At 41.2% G+C, this 23,802-nt stretch overlaps 1 protein-coding gene and 2 pseudogenes across 4 annotated transcripts in view, besides 2 other annotated features; all 3 read right to left on the reverse strand.

The window, feature by feature from the left end:
• Nucleotides 1-18,635, reverse strand: part of BMS1P2-AGAP9 (BMS1P2-AGAP9 readthrough) — a 51,748-nt pseudogene extending 33,113 nt beyond the window's left edge. The window contains exons 1-8 of one of the 2 annotated variants that reach the window (NR_160414.1): nucleotides 18,614-18,635; nucleotides 16,879-17,087; nucleotides 15,793-15,982; nucleotides 14,440-14,519; nucleotides 10,567-10,755; nucleotides 9,524-9,664; nucleotides 8,677-8,798; nucleotides 7,302-7,441 (exon numbers count right to left, since the gene is read on the reverse strand). The product of NR_160414.1 is annotated as a BMS1P2-AGAP9 readthrough, transcript variant 1 (transcript). Of the gene's footprint in view, nucleotides 1-7,301; nucleotides 7,442-8,676; nucleotides 8,799-9,523; nucleotides 9,665-10,566; nucleotides 10,756-14,439; nucleotides 14,520-15,792; nucleotides 15,983-16,878; nucleotides 17,088-18,463 lie in introns of both variants that reach the window. The other variant, NR_160415.1, reaches the window with a different exon arrangement.
• The window catches only part of ANXA8 (annexin A8), a 523,804-nt gene that overhangs the window by 66,873 nt on the left and 433,129 nt on the right, over nucleotides 1-23,802 (reverse strand). The window lies entirely within an intron of this gene.
• Nucleotides 709-18,658, reverse strand: BMS1P2 (BMS1 pseudogene 2; annotated as a pseudogene). Its single transcript, NR_024495.2, has 9 exons — nucleotides 18,614-18,658; nucleotides 16,879-17,087; nucleotides 15,793-15,982; nucleotides 14,440-14,519; nucleotides 10,567-10,755; nucleotides 9,524-9,664; nucleotides 8,677-8,798; nucleotides 7,302-7,441; nucleotides 709-4,296 (listed from the first exon to the last, which is right to left on the reverse strand). The product of NR_024495.2 is annotated as a BMS1 pseudogene 2 (transcript).
• Nucleotides 18,342-18,391: an enhancer, noted in NCBI's record as "active region_3327". NCBI's record gives its function as "activates an Ori minimal core promoter by ATAC-STARR-seq in GM12878 lymphoblastoid cells {active_cell/tissue: GM12878}" and the evidence as "EXISTENCE:reporter gene assay evidence [ECO:0000049][PMID:35858748]".
• Nucleotides 18,412-18,531: an enhancer, noted in NCBI's record as "active region_3328". NCBI's record gives its function as "activates an Ori minimal core promoter by ATAC-STARR-seq in GM12878 lymphoblastoid cells {active_cell/tissue: GM12878}" and the evidence as "EXISTENCE:reporter gene assay evidence [ECO:0000049][PMID:35858748]".

A 23,802-nucleotide genomic window follows, 5' to 3' on the forward strand; every position in this document is an offset into this window, starting at 1 on the left:
GCTGGTCTCAAACTCCCGGTCTCAGGTGATCCATCCACCTCGGCCTCCCAAAGTGCTGGGATTACAGGCGTGAGCCACTGTGCCCGGCCAATTATCCCTTTTTGTGTTTTTTTGGGGGGTTGGGGGAAGAACAGAGTCTCACTCTGTCATCTAGGCTGGAGTGCACTGGTATGATCTCGGCTCACTGCAGCCTCCGCCTCCCAGGTTCCAGCGATTCTCCGGACTCAGTCTCCCGGGTAGCTAAGATCATGGGCGCGCAACACATGCCCAGCTAACTTTTGTATTTTTAGTAGAGACAGGGTTTCACCATGTTGGCCAGGCTGTTCTCAAACTCCTGACCTCAGGTGATCCGCCCACCTCGGTCTCCCAAAGTGTTGGGATTACAGGCGGGAGCCACCACTCCCGAACCCATTTTGTGTTTTAACATCAGTCAACACTCCTATTTTAAAATAATAACAATGAATGGCGGTACCTTAGAACAAAGGAATTATAGATCTTTCTCTTGTCTTAGTGCAGACATTTTGTCTATAAAATGTTATTCACAGATGAACTCATGAGAACATTACTGTGAATTTTAAATCCATATACAAGTGTATGCTCATTCATGAATATTTCAATAAAATAAAACTAATAGCAAAAAAGAATTCCAGAGTTGAAGCAGTTTCAGGAAAAAGGAGTTGGCAGTATGAAGTAAAATAGCAAAAAAAATTTTTTTTTTAAATGGGTATATTTGTGTCTACAACTTTTTTTTAATTATAGCATTAGACAATGTGTATATAGATACGTATATAAAGCAATGGAAGTGGCATTGTTTTCATACTAGTCTAGAATATTAAAAAATATGTAATATGTGATCAGCAAAATAATGGCCCCCCAAAGATGTCCACAGATTCCTAGAACCTTACATGAAAACGGTACATCATGCATGTGATTCAGGTAAAGACCTTGACATGAGGAGACTACCCTGGTGCTATGGAATGAACGTTGTGTTCCGTCACTGTTCATGTGTTAAAATCCTAACCCTCAAGGTGATGGCATTAGGAGGTTAAGCCTTACGGGAGACTCTGCCCTCATGACTGGGATTAGCACCTTATTAAAGGCACAAGGGAGCTTGTTTGTTCCTCTCACCATGCGAAGACACAGCAAGAAGGAAGCCTCTATGAGAAAGCAGGCCTTCACCAGACACCAAGACTGCCGGCACCTTGATCTTGCACTTCTCAGCCTCCAGGACTGTGAGAAACAAAGTTCTGTTATTTATAAGCTACCTGGTCTAATGCATTTCCTTGTAGCAGCCTGTATGGATTAGGACAGTGGGCTCATGTGGATGATGACGGTGTCTCCATTCAGGACTAAGTAAGCACATGAGTCCTTAACAGTGGAAGAGAAGGGGGAAGGAAAGAGCCACAGAGACATGTGGCCATAGAAGAAGGGCCCATGGGATGCAAGGTTGCTAATGGTGAGAGTGGAGAAGAGCCCAAAGCCAAAAAATGCAGGCAGACTCCAGAATGTGGAAAAGGCGAGAAAAAAGATCCCCTAGAGCCTCTAGAGATGAAGGTAGCCTTTCCACCACCTAGATTTTAGCCCAGTGAGATCCACATCACACTCTGACATACGGGAGTGTAATAAATTTGTTTTATGCCCTGACATACTGGTAGTTTGTTGTAGCAGCAATGGACTAGTAATATATAAATATATATATACACACACACACATAAACACTACCCCCACCACCACACACACAACATAACTATCTATATATACCCCGCCCTTCAAAACTGAATCAGATAAACTACACATTAGCATTAACTTAGCTGGGTGTGGTGGCACATGCCTGTAGTCCCAGCTACACAGGACGCTGAGAGGGAGGATCACTTGAGCCCAGGAGTTTAAGATCAGCCTGGGCAAACACACTGAGGCCACATTTCAAAAACAAACAAAAAACACAACAAATATTTGATTAAGCTCATTTCCCAAATTTGAAGAGGAAACAATTATTAGATAAAGAGGAGAAAAGAGAAAGGTAGAGCTGCTGACTTCTGTGGTGGAAGCACAGGCACAGGCCCAAACATACTCCTGTCCTCCTGGCTTTCCTGTCCCTTCTCATAAGGGACACAGGAACCTCTCAAACTGAACCATGGATCACAGAACCATACTCAGAACGCAATACAGTTTTGTCTACAATTTTTTATATATCTGTGTCCCTGTCTCTGCCTCCCATTCCCAACTCCCTTACTCTTGTTAGAAAAAAATGGCTATTATCAAATATGAGTACATCCTTATATACTAATGCCAACTGATCACCAGCTGGTTTTCTTCTTTTACAAAGTCATAAATATTTAGGCTTTAACACATCTTCCAAGCAATAGAATGTTATTTTCCAGTTCATTAACACAAATTCTATATCTAAAATGAAGACTTCACAAGTTGATTTAAATAACATATTAACGAAAATCGACTGGCCATGGTTCAAACTGACATTTTAATTAAATGTGATGATAGGTTGAGTAACCTAGCAGTACTCTAAAATGACTTTTGGTTATGGCTTTTTCCATATTATGCTTAGGCTGAGGCATCCCTAAATGATTCAATTGTAATTCCCCTTCTTAAACATGAGATTTATCTTTACAAAATAATTTATTTTCTTAAAATTACAAGTTAATTCTATAGTTCATGCATACATAATCTCAGTAGATATCAGCTGTATGTGTACACACATACATATAGGTATTTGTATATACACATATTACATAATTTAAAAAAAACTTATTAGCAGGGTACAACCACGAAGACAAAGAGGCTTTGTGTAATGTGATGGAAACACAACTGCAGGACAAACAACAGGCTGCTGTGAGGGCTGTATTTACCCTTTCTGATGTAAGACTTGGAAAAACATGGATACTGGATATCTAATCCCCATAACAGAAAATTTAGGGTGCAGAAAACTTCCCACAATTTTTACAGACAATGTCAATAGAAAGGCATTCAATGCAGGGAATACACAGTGTGACAGTATACAAAAATAAGCAGGTTGATGGTTTAGATTTATGAGACAAGAGAAAGAAATAGTAGATGATGTCATAATTCTCCTTTTATGGAGTTATGAAAATTCTTCATTTTATATAAGGTCAGGTGCTTTCAAATGTCAATGAGAAAAATATTTAAAGGAAGAATCAAATCTAAGACGTAGAGAGATCTTTATAAATGTGAACTTCAGGCCAGGCACGGTGGCTCATACCTGTAATCCCAGCATTTTGGGAGGCCTAGGTGGGCCAATCACGAGGTCAGGGGATCAAGACCATCCTGGCCCACATGGCGAAACCCCGTATCTACTAAAATACAAAAAATCAGCCAGGAGTGGTGACGTGTGCCTGTAGTCCCAGCTACTCAGGAGGCTGAGGCAGGAGAATCACTTGAACCCGGGAGGCAGAGGTTGCAGTGAGCCGAGATAGCACTACTGCACTCCAGTCTGGTGACAGAGCAAGACTCCATCTCAAAAAAAAACAACAACAACTTTTTTTCATGCTGAGAAGATATAATCATCAACACATTCTTGAGCACAACTATGCACACAGGCACTTCCGCATTCACAAGCCATGCTGTGTGCACACACTGATGCCCCTAGATTCCTTTTTTGAAGAGGTGGTCTCTTGGTGTGTCACCCAGGCTGGAGAGCAGTGTTAGGATCATAGCTCACTGCAGCCTCAAACTCCTGGGTTCAAGTGATCCTCCTACCTCAGGCTCCTGAGTAGCCTGAACTATAGGAATGAGCCACCATGCCCAGCCAATATTTTCATTTTTTTGTAGAGATGAAATCTTGCTATGTTGCCCAGGCGGGTCTTGAACTCTTGGCCTCAAGGAATCCTCCTGCCTTGCCCTCCCAACATGCTGAGATTACAGGTGTGAACCATTGTGCCCAGCCACCGGATTCTTTATTAAGAAGAAAACTTGTTTGCTGACATGTAGGCAATGAATTGATGAATAGTAGTTCATAAATTACTAATTTACAAGTCAATATAAATGAGTTGAGTAAACACAAAATAACAGCATAAATTAATAAACAGTTTACGACCTCAAGTTTCTTTTTTTCCTTTAAAACATTGCTCTGACAGAGACTACTACTTGTCCATTCCATGGAAAAGTCAGAGGTGGTTAAAATGTCAGAGGTACACTTATTAACACCTTGCTGCCTTTTGTGTAGCTTCCTCTCAGTACTTCACCAGTTGGGATTGACACACCTCTCCAGCTGGGTTCAGGAGCCAGACAGGAGCACACAGAACAGGGAATCCAAAGCCATCTCTGACACCAAAAGCAATGAAAACAAAAATAACCAAACATATTATCAAGAAATGAACAAGAGATCGATATCAAGTACAGCAAAAAGAGAAGAAATCACTTAATCTGCCAGGCTTTCATTCTGACAAAATAATTTACAACACGCATGTCTCTATCTGACATGTGTGAATAGAAAAATAAGAGGTGACAATAGAGTAGAGGATTCGTCTTCCAATTGTCTCTGATCTATCCAACCTTTGTTACACATCAGAGAGCTCTCCAATTTATAAATAAACAACAGAGATATGCGGCAACCAGGACACAGAGACATACTGAGAGTACTGCTCAGCTCTCTGCCTAGGCCTGATTCTGATGATCCCTGACAATGAGCACTGTGAAATTTACAGCAAATCAGTACACATACACACAAACACACAAAAGAGATACTTCATGGGCAAAAAGCATCAAAGATATAAAATAAAATGCCTGAAAGACCATAAAACAACTTCTGATGAAATGCTGTTTTCATTTTGCAGTAGTAAAATATTCACCACCAAATCTACAATTAGCTTAAAAATTACAATAAGTACAGTACTTTTGGATCCCATCTCCAATTCACACCTTATCAACATGTAATAATCACACTGCATCTACAACAAAGCTGGATGGACTTTATGTGCTGAATACAACTTGTACACTAAGAAGGAAATTTTTTGAAATAATGAGAATACAAAATTTGTATGCCATGCTCTACTTCACAAGTTAAAAGAAAATACAATCATTTCTATTTTTAAAATGCATCGAAATAAAATACAGAAAAGAGTATTCTAATACCAGTTAACATTAAGAGAATATATCTCTAAACCAAAGATCTTGGATCTTCTAGAAAGACAAAATCAGCTGGTATATATTTGGATAAGAAAAAAAAATTAAGAGATCAAGAAAGGAGAGAAGACGTTCGCACAGAATCATCTCCAAAAATGGCTTTCTGACGCATTCGACCAGTTTTCAAGTCTATTTGTTTTTCCTCCTTTGGCATCAACAGCCTATATCACCAAGGATATGCAAAATAATTCAATTTGTACATTAATCAGCTAATCTAGAACTGGAAATATAGTCAATGAAAATACAAAAGAAACAGAAAATGTCAATGAATTGCTTAAGATGTTTAAGATGACATAGCGTAGGGAAAAAATGATCTGATAAACACCGGAAGAGTTAATAAGGAAACTGAGGCATGGTTCCCTAACACCACACTTCAAAAGAACTTATAGAGAGAATAAAGGAATAACCCTTAAAAAAAAAATCTAATTTTAGAAAAAAATTGCTCAAAAGGGAAGTTAGGGTTTTATAGATCTTCTGGAAAGCTGATTAATTTCTAAGCTAAAAACGCATGATCCTTAAGAGAAATGGCTGAGTCCAGGCCCAAGGCAGGAAGAGGACAAAATGAGCCTGGATCCTCTGGTTCTGTCAGAAAGTAAGAAATGCTCAAAGACTAACAGAGACAGTTGAAGGGACACAGGAGACAGGCCGAAGGCTCCCGCAGCCGAATCTGGGACAGCATAGGCATCAGAAAGTACAATGACAGTGATGGAAAATAACCCATGGAATAAAACGCAAGTGCATTAGTCAGCCGTGATGCTGAAACAAAGGGGAGAAGAGAAAGCTCTTTGTTAAAAATGCCAGGTAACAAACTTAGAAGGAATGACAGAGGAATAACATCCATTTTGAGTCACCAGTGCCATAACTGATAGAGAAGATTATCAGGGGGCTAAAATCACTGGATGAAAGAAAACTATATGAAGCTTTTTAACGTAGCACAATAGATAAAAGTATGAAAACATAAATTAGAAAAAACTAAAAATCATACCATAAGGGATGGATAAGTTAGAATACAGGAATAACAGGCCAGGCATAGTGGCTCACATATGTAATCCCAGGATTTTGGGAGGCCAAGTCGGGAGGATTGCTTGAGCCCAGGAGTTCGAGACCAGCCTAGGCAACATAGTGAGAACTCGTCCCTAGAACAGAACAAAAAAAATTAGCCGGGAGTGGTGGTGCACTCCTGTAGTCCTAGCTACTTGCGGGGCTGAAGCAGGAGGATCACTTGAGCCTGGGAGTTCAAGGCTGCAGTGAGCCAAGATCACACCACTGCACTCCAGCCTGGGAGACAAAGTGAGACCTTATCTCAAAACAAAAACAAAAACAAAAACAAAAACAAAGAAACCACAATAACAAAAAAACACTGGTAACAATAAAATCATGATTACATAAAGACTGTATAGAAAAAAAATCCTCAGAATATAGAAATAAAATTATGTATTTTACCTGTAGCTATATTAGAAGAGAGTATTCTTGTAGACAAGGATGACTAGAAGGATATGCAAAAATGAAAACAGCTAATAACACTCATTACGTCAGGCACTGTGGTAGGTAGTTTATGCACATTGTAACAAATTATATACTACATTATCTCAAGATTTTCAGATAAATTTTACTGGGAGTCATAAATCAATACAACAAAATCAATGTTTTGCAAACATCCACTAAGCATAAAGGTATACAAATTCCCAACCCAGACTGAAAAATAATTCACATAAGCCACACATTAGTGGAAACCTACCCATGGGAGATAATACAACATAATCTAAATAAAACTTTCAGAGACAAGGCATGTGGCTTCTGGACAGCCACAAACTCCCTGACTCTGCTCTAGTGTTTCGGCCATCAAAAGAAAGCCAAGTGGCCTCAGGTCTCTGAAAAACCAAAAAAGCAACCTATGGAAGATGGCGTGGTATTTGAGGAATATTTGAAGTCTGTTGAAAAATGCATCCTGTATTTTTTTTCAAGATAAGACTCCCTTGTAATGTCAGGTAAGTGAAGAGCCCTCAGAGACACATGCACACACAAAGAAAAACAAAACGACATAGAATGAATCCCACCAAAATGTGTTATGATGGCAGAATTATGGGTGATACAATCTTCTGTAATATATCTTTTTATTAAAAATAGAAAAAAAGCAGACTTACCCTTGATTATCTATAGCCTCTGACCCAAGTGGTTTGGAATTGGAAAGCAGCGTCACTCGACTTGAAGCCATCTTGGCATCAATGGTGGAGTAGGTGGAGATGAGACTCTGGACCAGCTCATGGGTGAGCCCCACCTTGTCCTATCAAGGCCACCAAGAAAGGGCACGTGAGGAAAGCACAAAGATCCTGGAGAGACACTGGTTTCACTCAGTTTCTCAAAATTATCTTAGACACATTTCCTGAGATCTTTTCTTAATGCCACAAACACCAGAGAAGAAAATCCTTATAACAAAGCTTGAAATGGATCCCCATCTCCATTAAACTTGTCCAAAGCTCAGTGAGTATATAACCTGATAACCTAAACACCTAGCTAGAAAAACCTCAGTTCCAGTGCTACAACAGTGCTAGCTTTTCTAACATTTTTAAATAACCCTGCTTTTAACCCAATAAAATTCAACTACAGAACTAAGAAATAAATATTGGAAATCCACTTTAAAATAATGAGGAGACCACTGTGATTGAGAAAAAGAAAAAGACAAACGAGAGCTGGAAAGCACACTGATTTTGTAGAAACAGAAATAAGCCGTGCAGGTGCCACACTGGCAGCAGTGCCCGCGCTGGGGCCATGGATCAAGGAGGCATGGAGGACAGGACTCTTCTGCTTGGTACAATGAAAAAATGGTATTCTTTTTATTCTACATATTGACAATATGCATTTGGGCCTTTATTATAAGTACAAGAGAAAAATCTTCAATAAATAAAAGCTGAGTACATTACTTTTTTTGATTAAAAAATAGATTAGGAAAGAATAATGAGAGTTCAGAGCAAAGACTCCTGCCTCACTGATGCCTGAAAACCGTGGCTGCCACCAAGGTCAACACAGACAGCGTCTTTGTCATACAGCACACCCTCAACTCCAGAAACAGGCACATAAACCAGCTGCTCCTTCTTATTTAAACAGCACTTCTTTTGTTATTCAGGAAGAACACAAGGGTCTGGGAGGAAACCGATGTCACTCATGGCAAAATGTTCTACCCCTGGAAGACGGGACCCAAAAAGCCAGCTTCAACTGACAAGAAGTCAGTAAGTATCTACTGTTGACTGGGGGGTTAAAAACGATCCACAGTCCAAGGGCTTAACCCATGACCCTAAAGAAGGGCATTGTGCCACACTGGAACAGTGGCCCTCTAGCTACAAGAGGTCAGAGAAGAGGGATTCGGTAACACCTTTGCAGGCCTACACATAGCTGGCTTACTTTTAAAACCTCCAGCAAGGCCATCTTCCCTTGTTTGGTCATTTTTCATTTTTCCTGAGAAATGAAGCCATCCCAAGAATCCTATGTGCAATTCTAGTATGTTCTACAACAAGAGAATACCTGGCATGTGAATTTGGCTTTTATCTTTGAAGTGTGCTCCTCTTAAATAACCATAAAGTGACACCTGCCGGTCACATTTGATGTTTGTTTGGATATCCTCCGGGTTTGTCAAATCTTCCATCCTAGAAAAATAAACTCAATCATACAGCAGAAACGAATGCCAAAGTTCCTATACCTCCTTTCATGTGTCAATGACTCATCACACTCTTGTCCACTAAGCACATCACTTAGGAACTAGAAAATGCAGAAATAAGGAAGCACCGTTCACCATCCAGCAGAGGAAAAGGGGCAGGCACACAACTGTGTCTCTAGGCTGAAAGTGACATTCATTCCATAAGACACCAGATGGGAGACGACGTCTACCTGGGGTCAGGGAAGAGTGAAGAACATATGCAGAAAATCCGTTTCTGGAAGAGGGTGAGCCTGTGCTCTGGGATTTGTACTGTGGCTTGGATTCTGGCAGGTGGAAAAGGGGTATTCCAGGCTGAGAAAATCACAGCACAAAGAAGAGCACAAAGGAAGGAAACTGAAGGCACGCACGAAGGACTCCAGCACCCGGGCACGAAGGCAGCATCACTGAAAACCGAGGCTGAACGTAGGATGGGGCCACATCCTGTAGCCTTAAATGCTTCCAAGTCCTCCCATTTTCCTAAACATCTCATAATTAATTTACTCCCAAAGGCACAGCATCTTTGAGCAATGATATAAGTAGACATTTTCCATCAACTGCACTTCTACCCCCACTATTCAAATAGGCACAAAATAAATCCTATCACTGTTCTTTTTCTAGCCTTTTTAGCTTTGAAATACATGGCCCAGGAAGAAAAAGTTTACAATCACTTTTTACCTGTCTGCCAGGATATAAGGGTGAAAAGTTTGCCATGAGAGGCCTAAACTTCATAACTGTAATAAAATGGCCCAGATTGTGGATTTCTTGGTTTTGATATTCTCCATGCACCATTCCAGAAAGGTAGAACAGTTTGGCAACCTAAACATTAAAGGAAAATTAAAAATTAAATTTCAATTAAATTCTCGTCAATACTGCAACAAAATAAAAGCTCTAAACAAGAAGCAATCCTAAGAAGGGAGACTTCCAGCAAAGCCACTGTCCTGAGGCTTCCAGAGCCTTGCTGGATTCTTTCAGGACTTATTAGAACCACACAGAGGCAGACTGCTCTGCAACCAAGCCGGTGCATCTGTCTAAGTATGGTGAGGAGAGGGAGGTGAGGCCTCTGAGCACAGAAACGGTTCTGTGGCCGATGGACCACAGCAGTATGGAAAGGAAGGGGCAGTGCCTGGTCCTGTAACTGGGAGAAACTTCTGATGTACTCTATTAAGTCCCGACTCCAAAACACCCAGACATTGCCTGGTGCAGCAGGTACGGAGACAAATGAGATACACCAAGAGGCCCAGAATAACCACTCTCTTGAGGGACACCTTCCAGAGACTGGGAACACATACACAAAGGGAATTCAGGAGGCAATTCCTAGAGAGATGTTTAGTAATGTCTCTTCAGTCTTTTTGTTTGTTTGTTTGTTTGTTTGTTTGTTTGAGATGGAGTCTCACTCTGTCACCCAGGCTGGAGTGCAGTGGTGCACTCTCAGCTCACTCCACCCTCTGCCTCCCAGCTTTGAGCAATTCTCACGTCTCAGCCTCCCTAGTAGCTGGGATTACAGGTGCATGCCACCACACCCGACTAATTTTTGCCTTTTGAGTAGAGACAGGGTTTGGCCATATTGCCCTGAGCTCGAAACTCCTGGCCTCAAGTGATCCACCTGACTCTGCCTCCCAAAGTGCTGGGATTACAGGCATGAGCCACTGTGCCTGGCCTCTTTAGTCTGGTTTTAAAGGATTATACTGTTAGTGTCTAACAATTATTTCTCTTCCTACCTGGTAAACTTCTGTCCAGAACCTGTGTTTTAATCGCTTCTTTGTCTTCTTCAGTTGCTTGTTATGCTTGAAGGAGTCGAGGTGGGTGAGAACTCCCAGAATTTTAGGAAAGCCATGTGCTTGACAGATGTTTAGAAACTCAAACATTTCCATTTCAAACCCAAAGCTGGCATCTATAAGCATCAGTACCTACAAGCACAACACATTATTTCTCGAAGAAACTACCAAAACAGACCACCTACACTAGGGGTTGGCAACTGGCCCACGGGCCAAATCCAGCCCATCACCTGTGTTTGTAACTAAAGTTTTATTGGAACATAGCCACATTAATTCCTTTACATATTGTCTATGGCCGCCTGTGCACTACAACTGCAGAGCTAAGTAGCTGCAGAAGATATGATCCACAAAGCTGAAAATATTCACTATCTGGCCCTCGACAGAAAAGTCCCACTCCAGACTAAATCAAATGACTACACAGGCATCACCCAGACAGAGAAACCACCACCCTCTGACTTGCTCTAAAAGGCAACCATAAGACAAGGCCACTAGGATATAAACATCCATTTTAAGAATTCTAATGCATGAGAAGTAACTCAGAAAAGGCTGGGTCTAACCTGGCCCTTACCTAAGAAATCCTAATTTAAAGAAATGAAGTTTTCTGTAATGTATTTTTAAGCCAAATAACAGGTCTCTGACATCCAAAGAATGGGAAGAAAGTGATAATCAATGAAATATATTAAATACGTACAGAAAACCAACCTCTTCTTTCAATCTCCTCACAGAAAAAAAAAAAAAATCTTTTTTTGCTGGGAAGTATACAATGGAAACCTCTAACTTGTATGTTAATTTGTATAACTCAATTGCTCAGAAATATTTGAAATAGCTACCAGTTTAGAATTAAGTAAAAAAACAGAAAGATTATGATGAATGGTAGTCTATAAGAAAATATAAGCAGATAAGACCAATTTTTTTTTTTTTTTTTTTTTTTTGAGACAGAGTCTCGCTCTGTTGCCCAGGCTGGAGTGCAGTGGCTTGATCTCGGCTCAGCGCAAGCTCCGCCCCCCGGATTCATGCCATTCTTCTGCCTCAGCCTCCTGAGTAGCTGGGACTACAGGCACCCACCACCACACCCGGCTAGTTTTTTTTGTATTTTTTTAGTAGAGACGGGGTTTCACAGTGTTCACCAGGATGGTCTCGATCTCCTGACCCCGTGATCTGCCTGCCTTGGCCTCCGAAGTGCTGGGATTACAGGCGTGAGCCACCGCACCTGGCCAAGACCAATTTTTAAAATTTAAGACACTTCAAAGATGCAAAATAATTTCAGAACTGATTCCTGGAAACTTGTAATTTTAATACTAAAGATAGTTCTGTTTCTATCTTTCCATGGATAACTAAAAATAACACAAAATGGAAACAGAAATGCCCATCCTTGATTAAACTAGGAAACATTCAAAACCCAAAACCACAGAATATATGAAGTTGGGCTTGTAGGAAAGCACAGCTGCCACTGCAGACCAAGGCAGCAAGCAGAGCTCTCCAGCAACACTGGACCAGCTCAAAGAACAGGTGGAATATCCTCACACCACATCTGATGCCAGAGTGCCAAGGGACAAGCAGCTGGTTGTAGGGTCAGGAATAAAAGGGAGCAAACAGTCCCTCAGCTGCCAATCTTTGCCATCTAAGCCAGTGTCACTCCCCTAATCCACACACGCACGTACACACCCAAATCCACGTACTGTGTGTGCCTCTGCTGTACTCAGGAGGCTTTGACAACCCAGAGCAGAGCAATCAACATAAGCTAGACTAAATAAATTATGGTGCATCCACAGAATGGAATGTTATATTAAAAAGAAGGAGGCAGAGCTACAGTACTTACTGATTATACACCTTCAAGATATATTACATGAAAAAAGCAAAGCATAGAACAGTGTATAAAATAAGCTACCGTTTGTGTTTTTAAAGGGTGGCATGTGTGTTTATATGTATCTGGAAGGATATACATATACATATACATATATATAAAGGTCTGCAGGGACCTGAGAGACCAGAGGTTACAGCAAGGAAAGAGAAAATGCGCATTGTGTGTACCGTGCATTACAGTTAGAGTGCTTTACCAAATGTGTGTGCTCCTTTTGAAAATCTTAAGATTTACATAGGCATCTCTCTCAATGATGGTTAAGAGGCTGGGAAGGGGAGCAGGGAGGGAGGGACAAAGAGGGAAAGGTTAACAGGTACAAAAACACAGTTAGATAGAATAAATTCTAGTGTCCAACAGCACAATAGGGTGACTATAATTTATTATATAATTCAGAATAACTAAAAGAATGAAATTAAAATGTTCCTAACACAAATAAATGATAAATGTTTGAAGTGACGGATCTCTGAATTACCCTGATTTGATCATCACACATTGTATGCTTCTATCAAAATACTACATGTACCCCATAAATATGTACAACTATTATGTATCCATAATAACTAAAACTAAAAAAATGTAAATGCATCTCTTAATATGTATGTGTTTAAAATTAGAAACTTGCTACATTTTAAATAAAAGAGAAACAAATGACTTCTATGAACTATTCAATCATTTCAAGTATACAAGTTTAGTAATCTTTACACAACTTTACATTAATTACACTTATTTTTACTAATAGTAGCATTACATGTTCAAAATTTGAATGTTATTTAGTTTTCTGACATTACAATGGCACAACTTTAAAATCTGTATTACTTTTTCCTTTATATTTTAGGAGTCTTCCTAGGCCAAAGTATAAAATCTGTAGCTCTAGCAAAAACTAAATAAAAATGAAAAAAACAAGGTATCTGTCACCCTACACCTCCTAATCAATATGGCTTATTTTTTTGCTAATTTTTTTTTTTTTTTGAGACAGAATTTCACTCTTGTTGCCCAGGCTAGAGTGCAATGGCACGATCTCGCCTCACCGCAACCTCCATCTCCTGGGTTGAAGCGATTCTCCTGCCTCAGCCTCCTAAGTAACTGGGATTACAGGCATGCACCACCTCACCCGTCTAATTTTGTATTTTTAGTAGAGACGGGGTTTCTGCATGTTGGTCAGGCTGGTCTCGAACTCCCGACCTCAGGTGATTCACCCACTTCGGTCTCCCAAAGTGCTGGGATTACAGGCATGAGCCACTGTGTCTGGCCTTTTTTTCTTTTTTTCTTTTTTTTGCTAATGTAAAAGATCATAGAATATCAGAGATAGTGAACATTATCATTTCCATAAATGTACATTTTCCACACGCTGAGTACTATCTAAATTTTCTATTGATAAACTCTGACCACTTCTTCAGGCAATTCATGTACTTACTTTAGCATTATCATTAAGGATGAAGGTTCTAGAACCATCAGGAACAAGGGTCCCATCTTCACACAAGTTACTTAACTGCTGGGAGGCTCTATTTCATCTTATGTAAACTATAGATAATACCTACTCACCTCAAGGGTGTATCAAGGGTTTATGTAAGCTAAATTTGTAGAAAGCAGTTAGCACAGTGCCAGGAAGGATCCAAGAAGAAATGGTACTTACTATGATATATTTGTACATATATATGTATGAATGTTAATGAGCTCTTATTAGCTGTGTTCATTAAAGGTTTTCTCCATCCTGTGATTTGCTTTTAGATTTTGGAACACATTTCATTGTGCACATTCCATTTGTATTATTAATATGACAACATTTATTACTAATATTATTATCATCATCAATTCAATCACATCTACTATATCCCTGATAATGACCATGATCCTTTTAATAATCACAAAACTCTCTTCCCTTCATCACGGGGTAAATAACCTACCACAATGCTGTAAGTCTCCATCAGCACCCCAGGCTGCCCCTGCTCACTTACCAGATCTGCTACTTTAGCCAGATCAATCATCATGTTAATGTCACACCCACATTCAATAATGGTGAGTCTGCGCTTTTTACCTATAAGTGAAAAGATGAAAATTTTACTTTAAAAAGACCCTGAAAAAACTCTAACCATCAACTCTTAATTTTCATTTTTTAATTGCATCCAGTAAAACACCACATACGTTTACAGGAGTGTACCAGAAGTTCATTTTTATAGGCAAAAACTGGTAAAATAAATTCCATCCTGTTTTTCTTCCTGTGTTCTAAATTTAGATAATATCAAAAGCCTACCCAGATGAATAAAAGTGCTCAAAACAGGGAAAATTCTGACTAGACAGGCTCCACGATAACCATGATCTTGCTGTTCAGCTGCAGGCCAATGTCTTCACCTCTATCAAAATTTCCTGTATTCCCACTATCGCTAAAAACATCCTCAAACATAATGCAACAGAATATTTACAATGATAATTATTTCTAAATTAAGGTAATAAGAAAATGATCAAGAAAATATTGGCTGGGCACAGTGGCTCATGCCTGTAGTCCTGGCACCTTGGGAGACCAGGGCAGGTGGATCCCTTGAGCCCAGGAGTTTTGAGATCAGCCTGGGCCACATGGGGAAATCCCATCTCTACAAAAACATAAAAATTAAAAAAAAGGAAAAAAAAGAAAAATTAGCCAGGCATGGTGGCATACACTACTCAGGAGGCTAAGGTAGGAGGATTGCTTGAGCCTGGGAGGTTGAGGCTGCAGTGAGCTGTAATCACACCACTGCATTCCAGCCTGTGCCACAGAGCAAGACTCTGTCTCAAAAAAAGGAAAATAAAATATGGATGCGCCAAAGATAAAGAAAAGCCTCAATCCAACTATATTACTGCAATAATAAGAGATTTCAGAGTGTACATTGCCATTCTACCACTGGACGTTTGTTTCATCTTCCCTCAAACTTGGAAAGGTCACCATCTCCCAAAGCAGACAAATTCTCATAGGAAAAAGAGAAAACGCGCACTTCCACCAGCATGTGGCTTCATAAGGGCAAGCATGTGCACCTGGCACATAGGAGGTACGTGCTGTCTGTTAAATGGTGTGTTCGCAGTGACCAGGCCTGTCAGGCCCTTCCAAGGAACATGCTTGGCAAAGCCATAGAGCAGTCAGGATAAGGTATGTATCACATCCTTATCTCTGGGAACTTATCCTTTTATGAAGTTATAGCTAACTTAGTAAAAGTAAGAGAGAGGTAACATGATATGACAATATTTAACATGTTCCACTCAAGAAAACAACAAACACACGCATGTCCCTCAGATGACAACAGCCACGCCAAGTCTGTGTCTGTGGCACCATCTCCTACCTGACACGATCGTCACAGGGCCTCTGATCTCGGTGAACTTCTGCCAGGTGAAGTTCCGAATGAGGCATTATATCAAAGTGCTCTTTCCAACTTTGGAGGCCCCGTCACCACTACCGGTATTGGTGGCGGCTCTAGTGGAGTTCCATCAACCACTGGAATATGATGCTTTTGTGTCTTCAAATCCAGAGTCCTATTTATTTAAAAAAGAAAAAAAAAGTAAACTCACTTTTAAAATAGAGTAAAAGGTATCAACCTTATAAGTAGACTTTTTTTTAGTATAATTACAGATATGAGTACTTTAGTATATTTTATAGAGAGTACAACAGACAATATAAAAATATAAGTAACTTGTCAATTATTAACTTCTGACCCCTATCCAAATCAATTGCTGTTCAATAAAGATGTAACAAGATGACTTCAATAGTATAGAGTTGAAAATTAAACACACCTTAAATCTGACTGCTTTATGAGTGATTTTTATAGTTTTTTAAAAACCAAAAGGTAAATACTGAGGCAGTGCATCATAACAGATAAGAGCAGAGGCTCTGGAGTTAAATTTGGCTCTCCGACTTACTGGTTGTATGATTGGAGGTAACTTGTTTTCTTGACCTCAGTTTTCTTGTCCATAAAATGAGGGCAAGAATGATTCCTACTCTGGTAAGGCTGCTGGAAGGATTTAGTTGAATAACGTTTAAAGTACACTGCTAAGAATATCATAAGGACTCACTAAATAAAGCTATGTTAGTATTACATATTGTAATTTTTGTATTTTATATTACAACTTTGTAAAACATATCCAGAGGGAAAAAGCACACTTATCACCATAGAAACAGTTTAAAGTTTAGGAAGAATCAAATTCTATAAATTCTTGTATCTTGGGCAAGAAACGCCAACCAGTGTGCAGATGCTGGAGGCAAGGCAGCTTCTATGGCAAGTCTTCTCACGTTTTAGTAAAAGCCACACAGCATGCATCTCCATGTCCTTTGGAGCTGGACTAGACTTGTGAATCCAAATGTCACCTGTGAGAGGCTCCTAACTATTTAAAAAGATTCAATGGAAGAACCATCAGACTGTAGCTAAACACACCTGTGAAAGGATCGAGACATCCACACAGCAGACTGAACTGCAAAAGCATTGGCATTTCTCTTCTGGGCATTTTCTTAGTCTCCTAGCTGGAGATCCTGCAGATGCCACTTCTTTTTCTTTGCAGCTTTGGGTCCACCGTTTTTCTTTCTGTGTTTCTTCTGGTCCTTAGTCTCCATAGTGGCTATTTACCAATAACAAGTAACTCTAACCTACAAGGAAGAAGGTTGGGGTAAGGAGGTGGGAGAAGCATTTTACAATCCAGGCAATACCCAGGGAAAAACATTAAATTTCATTTATTTCTTTATGAAGACATGATGTATTTGTTCACTGAACAAGGGTAGAAACTGCTTAACCATCCCCAATTTCATTTCTCTCTGTTATGCTATAAATTAGATGAGTTACCTCTGCTAAGGTTACATTCTATGGTTAAGTTACTTTTTATTCATCTCAAGTGTCAACATCACCAGTACCTATTTCTGCAAGGATGGAAATATTCTATATCTGTACTTTTCAGCCATTTAGCCATTAGCCACATGTGGTTACTTAAAATGTACTTCAGAGAAACTGAAAAAATGAATTCTTAATTAATTTCATTCTAACTCTAAATAGTCACATGTGGCTACCATACTGGACAGCTCAGACCTAGACATCGACTGGACTAACGAAGTGGTTTCCTAACTTAAACCAGAACTTAAATTTCAATAAAAAATTTAAAACGTTTTTATGAACTTCCAATAGGATCGCAGTATTACTTTTAGTACCTGTTGACTCTAAAACTTCTAAATTACAGCTCATCTACATACATTTGAAAAATAGCAATATCTGTATGTGTGAGATATGACTGGTTTTAGATGATGCCTGGAGACCCCATGGACTTACAGAGACCCTTCCAGTGATTTCTGAGGTACCTGGGAATCTGTGGCCAATAAATTGGTAGTCACTGAATCTGTGAGTTTTTTTGGAATATCGGGCTGCATAAAATCTGACAGCTTGATTGAGAAAAAGCGGGGCAGGGTACCATTTCATTCAGTTAAGGTCCTGTATTCATTCCGTTTAATAAATGTTTGTGTCTGTCTATGATGTGCTAGCCACTGTGCCAGAAAATGGATATAGCTATGGTCTGATTGGCAGAGGAAATCCAAACTAGTATCTTCCGTGCCATGCAATAAGGGCTACATTGCAAGGCTGCAGAGGGTGCTACTGGAGCACAGAAGTGAGTCAGAGGCTTCTCACAGACACACACACGAGCGGAAACAGAAAGTCTTTATATATCACCATATGTCAAGGAACACTGGCCGGGAGTTAGGAGAGCTGGGCACTAGGAACGCTTTGAAACTGAATAGCTGTGTGATTTCAGAGGTTATATTGCTTCTCTACTATATTTTACTGCCGAACTTGTACTGTTTCTCTCCCTTTTCTTCTTGGTGGGAAAAGCACAATTTGGGGTCAACAGATTCGGCTCAGGTCTAAGTCGCCTGCCGGGACCACGTCGCCAGGAAACGACGTCTCCCCGACACCTTCCCTCCCAGTCCGGGCTCTCTGCAGGGATTCATCCCGTCACTCTCCCAACGACCCCCGGGCACACCTCAGGCAGATGCGAAATATGCCGCTCCTCGGGAGCAAAGATGACCCGGAGGACCGGGGGAGGACCTTCCCATGCGCACGACTCGCGATCTTCCCAGTGCCCCAGAGCCACGGACCCAACCGCCGCCTACCCCAGCCCGCGGCACCAAACCTGTTCACAACTGCGACTCCTTAGGTCCGCTTGGACACCGCCGGAAACGGAAATTCACCCTCGCGCCGACTCGCCGGAGGGAAACAAAAAGGCAGAAAAAAAGGGACCGCCGCCTGGATGACTTTCAGGGGACAGCTGGAAGAAAGACTCGTCAACGGCCGAGTGCTGGCGCCGGCGCCGTCTGCGCAGTGCGTTCCACCGGGTCCGCGTCCCTCCCGATTCAGCCCCACCCCGCCCTCGGAATCCGCTGCCTCAGCTCCTGCTGTGGCACTCCCCAGCAGCTTGCACCTCGCTCGCGGAGTCCTTGCTGAAGGCCAGGGCAGCTGTGCGGCCTGGCGCGGGTTACTTGATGCCGTGCAAAAGCCAGGAGACACATTTGGTTCTGGCCGCCCCGGAGTCACCGTGCCCGGGGCGAATGGACTATGGCTGGATTGGGAGTCCACTTCCTCCTCTGTAAAGATGACAGACGAGGGAGATCTCGCGTTCTGGGGGTGCCCTATAGCCCTCTTTTGGCCAGAAGCGGTGGATCACGCCTGTAATCCCAGCCTTTTGGGAGGCCGAGGCAGGAGGATTGCTTGAGCCCAGGAGTTCAAGACCAATCTGGGCAACATAGGGAGGCTACATCTCTCAAAAAATAAATAAATAAATAAATAAATAAATAAATAAATAAAAATAAAGCCAGCGTCGTGGCAGGGCGCCTGTGGTCCCTGTGGTCCCTGTGGTCCCAGCTACTCTGGAGGCTGAGGCGGGACGATCGCTTGAGCCTGGGAGGCAGAAGTTGTAGTGAGCTGAGATCGAGCCACTGCACTCCAGCCTGGGCGACAGAGCAAGACACTGTCTCAAAGAAAAATAAATAAATAAAATAAGGCCCTCTTTTTCCGGGACCAACAGACTCTGAGGGCAGGGACAAACTGACCCAGCCTAAACTGCCTCGCCTTCCCTGCTCCCGGGAAAGGGGCTTTCCCTGAGGGAAGGTAGCATCTTGCCATTTTCTTCCTGCACAGCTTTGCCTTCCCAGGGATCCACCCATTGCCACCTGAGGAAATGCCTTGGAGCCCATCTAATCCCCAGCCCAGCTACTTGGGACGCCTACAGAGACTACATTGTCAGAGGATGCATCTTCCTCTAGTCTTGGAGGGTTTCTTTTCAATATGATCCCACCGGTGCATGCAAGGCTCAATTCTACATCAAAAAACTAGGCCCACTCCTGTCACCGAGACCCCCAGGCTTCAGGTCCTGTCACAGTGACCTTGTTATCACCCCCAGCAGCCCCCAGGTATTCACTCTGCATAGGCTATATACTGGGTGCTGCACTAGGGAGGCTACCTACGTGGCGCATGCTTCCCTTATCCCTGAAGAGCTTAGGATGTTGTAACTTCTTCACACTAGGCCTCTTACTTCTTGGAGATGTCAGTAGCCGGGTAAATAATCTTTCTAACATCCTTTTGGTCTCATGAAGCCCATTCTTGTCCTCTGCCCTACCTCAGCTTCCCCCTCCCTCCATGATCAGACCTTAGACCTTGTCAGGTCCAAGGACTGCAACCCTCACAGTATCCCACTCTGACCACCACCTCCTATCTAGAGCAATGGAGAGACTTTGTAGGTGAAAGCTGTCTTTGCTACTGGTTCTCCTATGCTCCCTCGCCTGGCTCCTGCAGGCGGTTGACTTCACCAGGGACACAGTGGCCAGTGCCCAGCAGGTCCCACTCCTCTCACCAGCTCCAGGCAGTTTTATTATAGAGTAACTCTTCTGAGACACCGCTCCTTTCCCCAGCACCTAAGGAAGTATTTCTAGTAAGTTCCAGTGGTATAGCATCGGTGACTCTCCTGACAAGCAGAGGGCCATGGCTGGGTTCCTCTGATGAGGTGCAGGGGCAGGGCACTAAGAGGGGAGGACTCTCCTGAGTTCTCTACCTGAGCCCTAGACTAGTAGCTGCTCCTCCTATACTTCCTACTAGTCTGTGCCTGGTTACTCCACTTCCCTGTTGCAATTAACAATTCCCTAGGTACACTTTTCCTGTTCAAATGACTGTGTGGCTTCTCTTTCCTAATCGGACTCTGACCAATACGCTATCATTTGCCAACAACTCCCAAAGTTTTATCAGTGACTCAGACCTCTAACCTGAACTCCAGCTGCCTCCATGACATATCCATTTGGATGTTTAATGGACATTTCCAAAGTGATATGCCCTACAGAACTCAGAATCTTCCCTCTCAAACCAACTGCTCAGCAGTCTTATGATCTTAGTTGATGGCAATTCAGAAGTGAATTGCAGGACACCCGGTTTGTATCTGCAGAGAGAACTGGAGAACTGCTTAGTGTGGAAAACCCACACATTTGGTTTCAGAAGTGTGTGAGTAGAAACAGTTTTCCTTTTATGTTTGTTGGATGGATAATGATGAACCTAGCAGGACACAGAAAGCTAGGCAGCAGTGGAACTGAGAATGAAGTTATACTTAATAGCAGAGAATGAAAAAGAAAAGACAGATAAAACATTTTGAAGAAAGGACAGTAATGTATTCCCAACAGGTAGGATTTACAGGATGGAGAGAAGAGGCAAAGATAACTACAAAATTTCTAGCCTGAGAGACTGGTAGAAAAAAAATGGTGGTATCAGGGACAGACAGGGGTTATTAAGAAAAAGGATTGGATTTTTAAAATAAAGAAGATCTGGTGTAAAATTATCCTCAGGAAAACTGGAAAACTAGGCATGTACTTCTCTCCATCATGCCCTTGCACAGTGCAGTCCTTCTGCCTGTCCATGCCTCGCCTCCCCCTCCCTAGGATTCCTCTTCCTCTCTTAAGACCCATCTCAAATATCACCTAGACTTGTAAGTAATTTACATGAAACTGGATACCTGAGGTTTCAAGCCTTTATCCCTTTGAAAGTTTTTAATAACAAGTTACTGTTATCTTTTACTAAGTCCAAGTTTATATTCGCCATTTTAACTAGCATCATTTCCGTTTCCAAGAGGTATTTGGTGTGAAAGTGCAACTAAGTTTACTGTTAATCAAGATCAGAATAAAAGAATCTACCAAAAAAATTAACAAGATCCCCCTTTTAATGCATAATCTTCCATCCATCAGGCTGTAAGTTAAATACCTAACATAAAAGAAAGCTGTATGTTTTATGGATATGTACATATATAACTGCAGGGAATATGATTTGGAAGGATATACACTTAGAGAAGACTGGGGTCACAAGTGGTAGTCAAGGGAGTCTTCAGCTTTCTTTTTGTATTTCAATTTTGACAGAAATACATACATATGTATTATAATTTTAAATTTTTAATGAAAAAAAGTATTTTTCCTTTTTTTTCTTGATCTGTCACTACATTATATTTTTCCAATATCAGCTAAACATTTGCTTCCCAGAAAGCTTAGTTGTCTTTTCAAAATTTATTCAGGTTAAAATAAAAGATTTAGACAATGAATTAAAAATCTAAGATGGTATTTGCCTACTTTATACAGAACAGTACATTGATGCTGCTAAAGCAATTAAAGTATAATTTTTATTTTCTTTCTTTTTTTTTTTTTTTTTTTTTGAGATGGAGTCTCACTCTGTCACCCAGGCTGAAGTGCAGTGGTGCAATCTCAGCTCATTGCAACCTCTGTCTCCTGGGTTCAAGCAATTCTCCTGCCTCAGCCTCCCCAGTAGCTGGGATTACAGGCGTGCACCACCACGCCCAGCTAATTTTTTTGTATGTTTAGTAGAGACAGGGTTTCACCATGTTGGCCAGGCTGGTCTCGAACTCCTGACCTCAAATGATCTGCCCGCCTCAGCCTCCCAAAGTGCTGGGATTACAGGCATGAGCCACCACACCCAGCCTAAAGTGTGTACTTTTTCTTAGCTCCTATATGCAGTGCTCCTTCCCCATGCTGAATGTCTGAATTTTTATCTGAGACATAGTATTTCAGATGGTCATTACTTACGGGTGGTCATTAATAGTTCCTCCCTGCTTCTAACCTTCCTCTCCTCATTTTAAATTAAGTTACGCTACATTATTGTGGATTAGAAAGTACATTAATATTAAGTGAAAAAATATGATCTGATGAGTAAGTGGCAAGAGTGTTAACGTATGAATATTAAGAGTTGTTCTGAGGCCTTTTTGCTTTTCTGGGGGTTCTGTGCTTGTGGTAGAACTCTTGGTTATTTTATAAATAGTTGCTGAAAAGTGAGAGAGTACAGCTGGAAATCAGATTTCTGATGAATAAATCAAACCCTATTAAGAGAACCAGGTTGAAGTAATTTTAAAACCATTTGGATTTTCATAAATGTTTTGTTAATGATTAATTATAAAAAAAAAACAGTGACTCTAGCTGGAGGCTTTTGTGTGTTTGCTTTTGAGTCAGCTAGGAAAAGGAAGAAAAATTCAAGCTTAGTCAATTGTGGTTTTCACTGAATCTTTTTTAAAGTAATGAGCTGGTTTGTTTTCTTCATCACTGTAGCAACTTAAGCTAGTTTCTGCTTTTGATTTTTATTTCTCCTAGAGAAACTTAGCATGCACTGCTCATTAGACTTGAGCATACTAAGGAATATCTGTGGTAATTAAGTTAAAAATCAGATCAGTGCTTTGTGCTGTGTATAGTTGCAGATGTCTGCATTTCACTAATATTCTTTGGAAACATCTGGATACCAGTTAACATAAAATAACTGTTTAGTTGGTTTCTGTTCAGAATAGAAGGAATGATTTAAAAGTTCCCATTGTAGTACATACGTCATTCTGTCCCTAGCCCTTCCTCCAGCTTTACTGAGATAGATAAATAATAAACGTCATGGGTGGTGTGTCTTCAGTTTCCTCTGGTGAGCTGGATGCACAGATTACTTTGTCAGCAGGGTGGCCTTGATTTTTAGGCCATGTGTCTAATGGCATCAGCTCTGTGGCCGACACCTGTGTACCGAGCCCATTCACTATCTAGCTTAGCCAGCCGTGGACTCCTGCTCTTTGTTAAAAGTATTTACCTTCATTCCTACTAGCACAGTTGACCAAAGACTCAGTTGATCCCAGACACTAGTAATGCATCAATGGAGTCTAACAGGGTTTTAAGATGTGTGTGTGTGTGTGTGTGTGTGTGTGTGTGTGTGTGTGTAGAAATGGGATCTCACTATTGTTGTCCAGGCTGGTCTTGCACACCTGAGCTCAAGTTCTCCTGCCTCAGCCTCCCAATGTGCTAGGACTACAGGCAT

Source organism: Homo sapiens, chromosome 10 (assembly GCF_000001405.40).
Source record: "Homo sapiens chromosome 10, GRCh38.p14 Primary Assembly".
In the NCBI taxonomy this organism is placed as follows: domain Eukaryota; kingdom Metazoa; phylum Chordata; class Mammalia; order Primates; family Hominidae; genus Homo; species Homo sapiens.